Source organism: Homo sapiens, chromosome 20, assembly GCF_000001405.40.
Source record: "Homo sapiens chromosome 20, GRCh38.p14 Primary Assembly".
NCBI classification, from domain to species: Eukaryota; Metazoa; Chordata; class Mammalia; order Primates; family Hominidae; genus Homo; species Homo sapiens.
Window position 1 is genome coordinate 48,658,662 of NC_000020.11, and position 12,632 is coordinate 48,671,293.

General features: G+C 52.2%; 1 protein-coding gene across 6 annotated transcripts in view; it reads right to left on the reverse strand.

Moving 5' to 3' along the window:
- The window catches only part of PREX1 (phosphatidylinositol-3,4,5-trisphosphate dependent Rac exchange factor 1), a 263,934-nt gene that overhangs the window by 34,410 nt on the left and 216,892 nt on the right, over positions 1-12,632 (reverse strand). For 5 of the 6 annotated variants that reach the window (XM_047440333.1, NM_020820.4, XM_047440332.1 and 2 more), the window contains 2 exons: positions 7,622-7,694; positions 1,258-1,400 (listed from right to left, as the gene is read on the reverse strand). In XM_047440333.1, coding sequence (XP_047296289.1) covers positions 1,258-1,400; positions 7,622-7,694 — 216 coding nt within the window. The remainder of the gene's footprint in view (positions 1-1,257; positions 1,401-7,621; positions 7,695-12,632) is intronic. The other variant, XM_047440334.1, reaches the window with a different exon arrangement.

A 12,632-nucleotide genomic window follows, 5' to 3' on the forward strand; every position in this document is an offset into this window, starting at 1 on the left:
ACAAACAAGCCCAGCCCTGCTTAGTGCGGGAGGCCAACTATAAACAAATAAACAAAAGAAATACAGGATGTGATGCAGGGAGTGTACGTAGTTGGAATTAAAGCACTTAATGGGATAGGGCACGGCAAGGGGGCAGAGAAGGTGCTATCGGAGCTGAGGCCTGAACGAAATGAAAAACAAAACTTCATAAAGAGTGGAGGAACATGCTCCAGGCAGCAGACACAGCACGTACAAAGGTCCTGAGGGAGGCCCCAAGGCACTGGAGGATAAGAAAAGAGATCAGGAGGTCAGGCGCAATGGCTCACGCTTGTAATCCCAGCACTTTGGGAGGCCGAGACGGGTTGATCGCTTGATCCCAGGAGTTCAAGACCAGCCTGGGCAACATAGCAAAACCCTGTCTTTATAAAAAATACAAAAATTAGCTGGGTGTGGTGGCGCAGGTCTGTTGTCCTAGCCACTGGGGAGGCAGAGGAGAGGAGAGAGGAGAGAGGGGAGGGGAGAAAGGGGAAGGGAGGGGAGAGAGGGGAATGGAGGGGAGGGGAGGGAAGAAAGAAAGGGGAGGAGAGAAAGAAAAGGAAGGAAGGAAGGAAGGAAGGAAGGACGGGCACGAGAGAGAGAGAGAAAGAAGAAAAGAAAACAAGAAAAGAGAAAAGAAAGAAGAGAGAGGAAGGAAGGAGGAAGGGAGGGAAAGAGGAAAGAGAGAAGGGGAGGGGAGGGGAGTGAGAGGTTTAATTTTATCCTAAGTGTGACGGGAAGCATTGGGGGACTTTACAGTGAGGGGCATGAAATCAGAGGGAACAGCAGTCCCTGCAGTACTATGGGAGAGAAGTTAATGGAGCCGTCTTCATATGAGTCAGGCTTCAGCTCCAACCCTGGCAGTGACCAGAAACCTAACCTCTGAGCCTCTGTCTTGACTGCCTGCTGCAGGCCACGCGTTAAGATGGGGGCTGCTGTGGGGTATGCAGGATGAGTTGCTTCAGGAGGCCAACCTCTCTATACAGTGTACGGGGAGGGGACAGGAGAGGCAAGGGAACAGAAAGGGAGACCTGCAAGCCCAATCTCTTTTGTTAGGAGGGTAGTCTCAGCCAGTGATGCAGCCTGGCTTCTTGGCAGAGTTGCCCCCTACCACCTAGAATCCACCTATTCTGGTACTCCAAGCTGAGCCCCCTTCCCTGTGCATAACCAGAAGGTCGCCCAGCTCCCATGCCTGCAGGGGGCTCTGGCAAGGAAGGGACAGCTGCTCAGCTGTGCTCCTACCAGCAGGCGCTTGGCCAGAATGTTCTCCACCAGCTTGAAGTCGTTGCGAAGCTGTTTGTTCTTGCTGCTGGTCCCCTCCATCTCCTCGTCAGCATGAAAGCGGAAGTACTGGGACTCATCCCTGAACTCGCTCTTCTCCAGCACTGCAGATCCACAGATGTGCACTCAGTGGTCAGATTCACAGGGAAAGTTTCAGCCATGTTTGCCAACTGGCAGGCACAGGCTGGAACTAGGCCATGGACACGTTTGGTTTGGCAAACACTATTCTATTAAAATGGAATCATATGCCAACACTAACATATTAGGATATTTCACAAAGCGATCTGGCTTTCTGACTTCTCTTGAAAAGTCTGAACTTGCCTCACCTGCTATAAAAAGACATTAATATTTTACAAAGCCATAGTAACACACAGTGTGGAAATGCAGTAGAAACAGATCAATAACCAGCAGAAGGGAATAGAAGTCACATAAGAGGACTAAGTGTTTGCAGGAACTTAGTCTATGATGATGATTTATGATCATAGAGTATTCTGCAGATGGTGCATGGAAAACTGACTTGCCCAGGGGGGAAAAAAATTGAATCCCTACCTCACACCATATGCAACAATAAGCTAATGGATTAAAGACCTACGTATGAACAGTAAAACCAAAGCTAACAAAACTAAATATAGGATGACATCTTTGTCCTAGAGAAGAAAAGGAGTCTGTGTATAAGACCCTCTTGTACTAGACTAAAATTAAGGACCTCCATTCGATAACAACTCCATAGGTAGATGGCAGATGTGAAGGTAACTATAGTGTCCAAAACCAACAGGAATAAATATCTAGAATATAAAAACCTCTAACAAATCAACTAGAAAAAGCTCAGAAGCTCACAGATAAATGGGCAAAGGATATGAACAGTCAATTAACATAAGCAAACTCCAATGAGCAGTAATTTGTGAAAAGGCGCTCAGACCTCTCAGAAGGAAATGATGCTGAGACACTTTAGACCAAAAGTTGGCAAACTCAGTCCCCGCAGGCCAAATCTGCTCCACTACCTGACCTTATGAATAAAGTTTTATTGGCACACAGCTACGGCCATTTGTATTTGTACTTGTATTATCTGTGGCTGCTTTTGAGCCACAAGGACAAAGTTGGATACTGTGACAAGCTGTACGGCCCACAAAGCCTAAATTGTTACTAAGTGGCCCTTTACATAAAAAAATATACTGACGCCGGCCAGAGGCGGTGGCTCCGCCTGTAATCCCAGCACTTTGAGAGGTCGAGGCAGGCAGATTACCCAAGGTGGGGAGTCCCAGACCAGCCTGACACAACATGGAGAAACCCTGTCTCCACTAAAAATACAAAATTAGCTGGGCATGGTGGCGCATGCCTGTAATCCCAGCTACTCGCAAGGCTGAGGCAGGAGAACTGCTTGAACCCGGGAGGTGGAGGTTGCAGTGAGCTGAGATCACGCCATTGCACTCCAGCATGGGCAACAAGAGCAAAACTCCATCTCAAAAAAAAAAAAAAAAAAAAAAAAAATATATATATATATATATATATATACACACACATATATATAATATAATATATAGTATGTATATAACATATATAATATATATAATGTGTGTGTGTGTGTGTATATATATATATACACACACACACACACACTGACCCCTTTCTAGGACAAGCCAGGAAAATGAATAAAAATAACCAGTATCAACCAATTGGTGATCTGATCCCTGTAACTTACAACTTAACTGGGCACCTCCCAGTGCCAGGCACACTGGGGAGGCATGCTAAGTTCATCTGCTCCTTGGATAAGGATTTGCTGTGCCCCTTTCATAGACGGGGAGACTAAGACTCAGGCCCCTAGGTCACACAGCCAGCAGCCAGCAGGCAGCAGAAGGGCCCTCATCGAGCCTCCTTCCTCTCCTCCTCCTCTCCCCACACTGTCCAGGCAGGCCTGTTAGATGAGGCAGGGCTGAGTATAAACAGTGGACAAAGGTGGAAATCAAGGCTCGGAGAGGTAAAGGCAGCTGTCGGACGCCAGTGGGTGCCTGAAACAAGGGAAACCAGCTGCCTTAGCCACAAGACATCCCCCTCGTCCCTGAAGACAGAGGCTTTTTCTGGATGTGGTGACTCAGTGGAAAGCAGCCGGGGGCATTTCTTTCTTTCTCCTTAGTTTTATAGGACATTTCACCTGGAACTCTACCTGTTTGTGAGCCCCTTTCTCAGGCCACCCCTGTTACCTTTTTGAGAAAACAGACACACAAATTGCCACTTTCCCCAGAGCTGGGGAGCCAGGCACCAGGGGGCCGCTGGCTTCGACTCCACTATAAACATTAAGTTAGAAGATTCCAGGAGTGGGAGGAAGAATTGCAATGTTGCATATTGGCCAAAATATTTGTGGAAAACAGCGTGGAATCCCTCAAGTCCACGAGCTCAGCCAAGCGAGCTACCAACCTCAATACCTTTCCCTCGAGGCTGCTGGTCCGGCTTTATAGGATAATCTCAGATCTGGGTTCAAATCCCTGCTCAGCCCCTTCCTGACTTCATGCCCTTTAGCCTCTCTGAGCCTCAGTTTCCTTGTCTACAAGAATAACAACAGGACCAACATGCTGGGGTGGCTGTGGGGATTAAATGGCAAGCCTCAGTTTCCCCATATGTGCCTAAAGCAAGAGGGCCGGACCCCTGGTCAGCCCTAAGGTGGGAATACCTTAGTGTCTGCAGGCTCAGTTTGGCCCCAGTTCGAGGCGCCTCAAAAGGTGCCACAGAGGCCCCTCCCAATCGCCCATCCTGCACCTCACCCTGTATTTTGCTGCAGCCACAATCCTGGAATTGGCCCTTTCCTATTTTAGCCTATTTTTGAGTTCGTGGCAGGGAACAGAGGAGCAGGGTCACGCCCTGCAATTTCTCTCCCTGAGAGCCCTTGAGGACATCAGGATTGCCTGGGAGTCACCACCCAGCAGAATGTCCACAGCCAGCAGCCTTCCCGGAATAGCAGCTGGGGAGGACCCCTAATTACCCTCACCCACAAATGAGAGGTTGTGCCCAGCTGACTGGCGGGAGGCTCGGGGCTGTCAGAGGGCCCCGAGGCAAACAGAGCAGCTTCTGGGAATGAAGGACTTTGGTGAGATGAGGTAGACACATGAAAATGCCCTCAGCTGTCCAGACTGGCCCTTACCTGCCCACCTCAGCTGGGGAAACTGGAAGCTAAAGAGTGAGTCCTATTCCCACAGAACTCTGGGCATGCTGAGCGCACAGGAGGGGAATGCAAGGCCTCCAATGGAAAACTGGAGAAACTGAGGCCCAGAGAGGCATATGGGCCTATTGGGAGTCAGCTGAGTCAGGGACCTGCTGGCCACAAGGCAGGGGATAGATCCAAAGGCCTCTCAGGTCTCCAGCACGTGGCTCACTCTGCCAAGGGAACCGCAAATCCAGCAGGCCGACCAGGGCTCAACAAACTATGGCCCGGCTGGGTGTGGTGGCGCATGCCTGTAATCCTAGCTACTCAGGAGGCTGAGGCAGGAGAATCACTTGAACCTGGGAGGCGGAGGTTGTGGTGAGCCGAGATCACACCATTGCACTCCAGCCTGGGTGACAAGAGTGAGACTTCGTCTCAAAAAACAAACTATGGCTCACCACCTGCTTTTCTAAATAAAGTTTTATTGGCACACAACCATGCCCATTTGTTTACATACTCTCTATAGCTGCTTTTGTGCTACAAAGGAAGAGTTAAGAGTTAAGCAGCTGTGACGGAGTTTGCAGATCTCTGAGTTAGAACTAAAAAAGCCAATATCAGAAAGGAGAAACAGCCAAAAGGCCTTCTTGTGGCTCAGGGTTTTCTGAATCTGACCACTTCTAACCCCTTGCAACCACCAGGTCCCAGCCATATCCTCCTTCCCCTGGACTATCATGACCACCTCCTCGCTGGCATCCCTGTTTCCTTCCCCTGCACACACCACATGCACATGTGTGCACACACATACAAGTGTGAGTGCGCGCACACACACACACACACACGGGACTGTTATCTGTCCTGGTCATCACACTCTGCTCCCAGAACCTGGCACGGTGCCTGGAACACCAAAGACACCACACGTGATGTCAGAATGAACAAAGACAGAAAGGAGTGATGGGATCTGCCTAACAGGGAGAGAACAGGCCCTTAAAAAAAAGAGAATCTGGTCGGGCGCGGTGGCTCACGCCTGTAATCCCAGCACTTTGGGAAGCCAAGGCGGGCAGATCACGAGGTCAGGAGATCAAGACCATCCTGGCTAACACGGTGAAATGCCATCTCTACTAAAAAATACAAAAAATTAGCCGGGTGTGGTGGCGGGTGCCTGCGGTCCCAGCTACTCGGGAGGCTGAGGCAGGAGAATGGCGTGAACCCAGGAGGTGGAGCTTGCAGTGAGCCGAGATCCTGCCACTGCACTCCAGCCTGGGCGACAGAGCAAGACTCCGTCTGAAAAAAAAAAAAAAGAGAGAGAATCCGAGCTAGGAGCAGAGTGATGACGGGGAGGAGCTATTTTAGCTGGGGTTGTGGGGAGGCCCTCACTGGGGAGGGGTCAACTGAGCAGAAACACTGAGTTACCTGCAGGGATGAGGCAGGCAGGGCACCCTGGCAAGGGAAACTGCAAGTGCAAAGGCTCTGAGGAATGTTCTAGAAACAGGAAAATGGCACCTTGGCGGGGGTTAAAGGTTTACCTGTCCTGTTGAAAGGACAGGAAACTCAGGGATCCCCCAGGACCTTCAAGGGGAGAGGCTACATAGCACAGTAGTTGAGTGTGCAGCCTCTAAACCCGCACGATCTGGGTTCTAATCCCAGCTCCAGACGGCCTGAATTCTAATCCCGACTCCAGACGGCCTGAATTCTAATCCCGGCTCCAGACGGCCTGAATTCTAATCCCGGCTCCAGACGGCCTGAATTCTAATCCCGGCTCCAGACGGCCTGAATTCTAATCCCGGCTCCAGACGGCCTGAATTCTAATCCCGGCCCAGACGGCCTGAATTCTAATCCCGACTCCAGACGGCCTGAATTCTAATCCTGACTCCAGACGGCCTGAATTCTAATCCCGCCCCAGACGGCCTGAATTCTAATCCCGACTCCAGACGGCCTGAATTCTAATCCCGACTCCAGACGGCCTGAATTCTAATCCCGACTCCAGACGGCCTGAATTCTAATCCCGGCTCCAGACGGCCTGAATTCTAATCCCACCCCAGACGGCCTGAATTCTAATCCCGGCCCCAGACGGCCTGAATTATAATCCTAACTCCAGACGGCCTGAGTTCTAATCCTGCCCCAGACGGCCTGAATTATAATCCTGGCTCCAGATGGCCTGAATTCTAATCCCGCCCCAGACGGCCTGAATTCTAATCCCGGCTCCAGACGGCCTGAATTCTAATCCTGGTTCCAGACGGCCTGAATTCTAATCCCGACTCCAGACGGCCTGAGTTCTAATCCTGGCTCCAGATGGCCTGAATTCTAATCCCGCCCCAGATGGCCTGAATTCTAATCCTGACTCCAGACGGCCTGAGTTCTAATCCTGGCTCCAGATGGCCTGAATTCTAATCCCGACTCCAGACGGCCTGAGTTCTAATCCTGGCTCCAGATGGCCTGCGTTCTAATCCCGATTTCTACTTGCCATGTAACCTTGAGAAAGTTTCTTAACTATCTGAGCTTCTATACCCTCATCTATAAAATGGGGCTGATGTTAATACTCACATCAAAGGGCTGCTGTATTAAACTAATAAATATATGTGAAGTGTCTAGAAAGAGCCCAGGCACACTGAACACTAACTTTTGTTGTAATTTAAACCGGTGTCCATGGAGCCACTTCGTCCTCCTTCTTGCCATCTTCCTGCCTCAGGAACATCTCAGAACTCACCCCCCAATACCTGCCTCTCTCCCAATGGAAAGAAAAGTCACTTATCTGAGGGAGGAGGCCGGGGAAAGAGGCAGACATCCCAGGAAGGGCTTCCTGCCTCTCACATTCACAACCCACCTGCCCACTGTCCCACAGGGCACAGCTCCTCCTTCCTCACGGAGGCCTTCGGGCCAGGCCTGCCTCATCTGGCCTTGCTGCCTACCCTGGAAGGCCACATCCCCCCCAGGAAGAAGGGCACAGGAAACCCATGGGTTGGACTTCAAATCTAGCCCATGTCCTTCCAGCCATTTTGGTCCCCAGTGGACACCAGAAGCCATTTCTCGATCGGTTCAGAACGGGAAGGGGAGGGAGGTGGGATTCGTGAGCCTCCCCAAACCCCCGGGGGTCTAGAGAGCCACAGACCTGGCTTCAGTCCTCCCATACTCCCCCAAACCATCAGCTCCAGGGAGCAAGGTCCCGGGGGCTGGGCTGCAGGTGGGGGTGGTTACCGTGGTGCATGAAGCCATTGTTGCACAGACCCACGCCGAGCGCCACTGCCTCCTCCCGAGTCTGGCAGTCTCCCTGGAATGGAACAAGAAGGGGAGGGTGTTAGGTGGCAGCATCCGAGAGGCCATGCATGGCCAACGAGAAGCCCACAACCACCCAAGAAGGTAGGCTCCACGAGGGCCAGGGGTTGTCTGTTTTGTTTACTGCAGTAACCCCAAAACGGGTTTGTGATTATTATTTTTTATTATTATTATTATTTTTTTGAGACAGAGTCTCACTCTATCGCCCAGGCTGGAGTGCAGTGGCACGATCTCGGCTTACTGCAAGCTCCACCTCCTGGGTTCAAGCCATTCTCCTGCCTCAGCCTCCCGAGTAGCTGGGACTACAGGCACCTGCCACCACGCCCGGCTAATTTTTTGTATTTTTAGTAGAGACGGGGTTTCACTGTGTTAGCCAGGATGGTCTCAATCTCCTGACCTCGTGATCCGTCCGTCTTGGCCTCCCAAAGTGCTGGAATTACAGGCATGAGCCACCACGCCTGGCCCCATTTGTGATTATTATTAATAAACTCCAAACAAGACTATTTTATTGTACTGTGATCAATACCGCAAAGAAAAAATGGAGATTTTAAGCGGCAGACAATGTTGGTTGCCTAGCAACACCTTTCCCATTCCTCCCTGGTCAAGAAGCCCTCATCCATCTCCAGCCTCCCTTGCAGCTACAGGTGGCCAATGAGCTATAAGCAGAAATCACTGGTGGGATGCTCTGGCAAAAACCCCTTGTCCCTGGCCCTTTCTTTCTCTTCCTCCCGCCTGGAACAAAGATGTGGTGGCTGGAACTCTTGCAGTCACTTTAGACTACAAGGTGCCCTCATGGCTGGAAACACACTAAGGAAGGCAGAGCAGAAAGACACAGAGAGTGTGGTCCCCAAAGATATCAGGAGACACTCCAGCAGCTCTGAACCACCCACCTCTGGACTTCTCTCATGCTACAGAAACACAAACCCTAATTTGGCTCAGCTTCCATAATTGTGTCTCTAATACTAGAAATCAAGTTCAATTGCTAACTGACCAAGCACCAGCTAATAAGACGACTGGGGAAGCCTACCAGGGGCTTCTGAAAAACATCTTCCCCCCCAGGTAAAAGGGAAAAGCAGCACCACTCCTCCCTGCCTGGGATAAAGTCATGTGAGGAAGTGATGCTCAGGATGGTGGGGTGAAGAATGGAAGATTCTTCTGTCTGCTACTGAGCCCACAAACCAGCCCTGGAACCACCTAGCTCCATGCTTCTTGATAGGTGGCATCTCTGTAAGCCACTGTTCAGTTGGGCTTGTTATCCTGGCAAATGAAAATATTCCAAACTGATACAATTTGAACCAAGGCAATCTGACTCATCTCAGGACTTCCCGAAGGAAGTGACATCCAACCCGAAACGTGAAGAATGAACAGGCACGGCCCGTGTGCTGGACCCTGCGGGTTTGGCCTTTGGGGCCAACTCTCCCAGGTGGGATGTCATCTTGGTGGGGCAGTTGATCAAGGTTTGCAGCCCTCCTAGGCCAGGCTGAGGCCAAAGGGATGCTCCCTGCCCCAAGAACATGACACTTGAGTGGAGGACCCCAAGGACAAGGAAAAGCAGCGCTGATTGTCCCTCACAGCGGTGTGCTGGACAGAGCCTCCACCTGCTAGCTTCTCAGCATTTCCCGGTGCCAGTTCTTCCTAAGGCCTCCTAGGCCTGCCCTGGCTTTCTGAGTGCCCCACCTCCCTTCAGTGAGTCATCCTTTGTTATCCCCCCTTCAATTAGCCAGGGCCTGTTTCTGTTGCTTGCAACCCAAATACACTCAATACGTCCCGGCCAAGTGTGTGACACGTGTGTGTGTGTGTGCGTGCATGCGCATGTGCAGGTGGGAGGGACTGTCAAGCAGAGGAAACAGCAGGGGCAAAGGTCTGGAGATGGGCAGAAGCTTGGAGCGCAGAGGAACCAGAAGGCAGCACGGCCGACCAGGGGAGGACAAGCTGAGTCAGGCCCGTGGGGGCCAGGAGCCGGCACTGCTGTGTCCCCGCTCAATCCTAAGTGCTGGGAACGGGGCTGACCTAGAGTCCCTGCTCAATAGCTGTCTGCTGATTTAATAAAGGAGTGGTCAGCAGGGGCCAGATTGTGTAGGAGCTTGCAGCCAGGTCAATGAGCTTGAACTCCAAAGAGAAAGCCACAGGCACCACCTAGTCTCACTGAAACGCCTCCCAGAATGAGGAGCCCTGAGAGGCCCCGCCTGTACCCTCCCGTCCACAGCCAGAGGGGATTTTCCAACCAGAGGAGACAGGGGTGCTATTCAGAGGCAGCAGGACTCAGCCCTGGGCAGAAGGCCTGGGGCAGAGCCTCTGGCCTTGGCATTTCACCACACTGCCTGCCCTGGCTGACTCCATAAAGACACATTTCTCCCACAGGACCCCAAGCCAGTAGCTGGAGGGCCTGCGGGTTGGGAACCCTGCCAGGGGTGGTGGCTATGAGAGGCCATATCCAGAGCAGCCTCCCCCACGCCGTGAGGGGCCGGCAGTGGGGAGGCCAGCAGGGCCCAATGGCGGCAGGCCCTAGCTCTGCAGATGGGAGGCCCGGCAGGCAGCTGGAGCCACCTGGCCTTCTGAGGCGCTCACAGTCCCAGCCTCCCCACAGGGTCTTGGAGCTCCTAAAGCTAGGCCAGCAGGGACTCTCAGGTCAACAGTGATACAGAAGGCCCAGATGTGCCACCTGAACAGGAAGCCCTGCCACCTCCCTGCAGCCCTCTGGGAAGGATGCAATTTCTCCTCTCCCAGAGGAAGCCGCCACACACGAGACCCCTGCAACCTCCCCCGCCATGCTTCCCTGCCTTGACTCCCCCACCCGCCTGCCCACCCCCAGGTGCCCTCTGCACACCTCAAGGCCTTTGCACTCGTCCTTTCCTGCACACCTGGAATGCCCTGCCCCGGCTTTGCAGGTCTCAGGGCCGTACCACCTCCTCAGAGAGTCCCATCCTTAACTACCTGAAAGTAGCCCCCCAAACATTCCTCCACCCATCCTCTCAATAAACGCTCACCAGTCACACACACTCAGTACCCTGCAAGGCATCTGTGCCACCCTGTCCCAGTCTGAAATTAACTCACCCATGTATACATTTTGCTTAAGGTCTGTTGCCCACCGGGTATAAGCTCCATGCGGGCAGGGACACTGCCTGCCATGTTCACCTCATCATCCCACATCAAAATTCAAAGTCTCCTACTTGGTGGGGCACAAAAAGTGGAAGGAAGGGAAGAAAAGGGATGTGATGGGAGAGGGGAGGAGGGACAGAAAGAAGGGAGAAGAGAGGACCTAGTTTGAAAACTGATTCTGAACTCACCTCCCTGTCTCGGTCTCTGTCTATAGTGGTGGGGAGAGTGTCTCCATCCCACCAAGTTCTCGTGAGGATTGAATGAGACACTCTGTGCAAGACCCTTGGCCCAAAGCCTGGCACACAGGCAGCATTTGATAAATGTTAGCTGTTCCTGATTAGTTATTTTTTCACTGGAGAGAACCACTGAGGAATGAAGATGGAGAAGGCAAAGTGGGGTGGAGAGACGGAGTAATGGGGGAAAGAGGTGTCAGTTACACAGGACCCCAGACAGCCTCTTTACCCATGAATTCCGAGACCCCATAAAGATGCCCAAGGATGCCTCTCACCGACCCACCATGTACAAGGAGCTGCAGGATTTCACTCAGACTGTATGGTTGACCTGGAGACAATCACTCTTATTAACCCCACTCGACAGAGGAGGAAACAGAGGCATAGACAGACTTGGCAGTTGCTCAAGCTTACACAGTAACAATGGAGACTGCTCAGAGCTGGACACCCCCCGCCACCATGCCATGGAGAGGGGAAGTGAGGCTGAGAGGGGAGGTTAGTTGCCTAGGGTTGCAGCCAAGTTTCCTGTTCCCATTTCTCCTGCGTCTCTTCTCCCAGTAGTACCTCAAGCTGCCAGCCTGACCCCCGCCTCTCCTACCCCAACCCCTCTCTGCCCCTGCCCCTGCTGAGAACCCTGCTACCATCAGTACCTGCCATCTGCCTGGTAGTGGGAGCCCACGTGGCGGGCATTCCAGGTGCATTTCTGCAGAGCCAGCATGGGAGCATGCAGATCTGTGCCCGCCCCACACCTGGCTCCTTGGCCTGGCCTCTGCTCTCTCCTGCTCAGCCTGCTGACCCCCTGCCCTGCATGTGACGGTCGCAGCCTGGGGCATCCTGGAGCCCAAGTGACACAGACCCAGAAATCACCCAGTGGAGAGGTGAAGAGAGCAAACTCCAGAGCTGGCTTCCCCCGATTCAAAGCCCCGCTCTGCCCTGGCCACGTCCTTGGGCAATCCCTTAGCCTCTCTGAGTATCCTTTCCTCATCCATATTTTTATTTCATTCTCAGATTTGCCCTTGATTCTCCTAGGCCTCTGACACCCCTGAGAGGTGGTCTCTGCTCAGACTCAATCAGCGATCATTAATACCAAGCGTTATGATTGTTATTGACTATGAAGGCATCAGGACAACCCCTGCCACACACAAACACACAGAGGATCCTGGTGGCTGTGTGCCCTGCGGCAAGTTACATAACCCAAGCCTCAGTTTCTTCATCAGTAAAATGGGAACAACTGCATTTGTCTCAAGTTGTTCTGAGGATTAAATAAGATAATGCACCAAGCCGTTCCGGAGCTGACAGAGAGTGCAAGTTGTCTCTCCAACGGCCAATGCCCACCTCATCCTCAGAGTTTAAAGAACTCTGATTGTCTGAATAGTGCCTAGCAAGCCACCTCCCGAAGTCAGAAGAAATGAATCCCGAGGAATTCTAAGCCACTATCAGCAATCTCGGTTCTCTTCCCCAGGGGCTGGTTTAGGGGTGTATGTCAGACCCATCCAGCCAATGAGACCTAAGGAAAAGACCATGCAGGGGAAGGGAGGATTGTAGGAAGTTTCCTCCCCTAATACACAGAAAGAAAAAATGTTCTCCAACAGGACAGCCTTTGG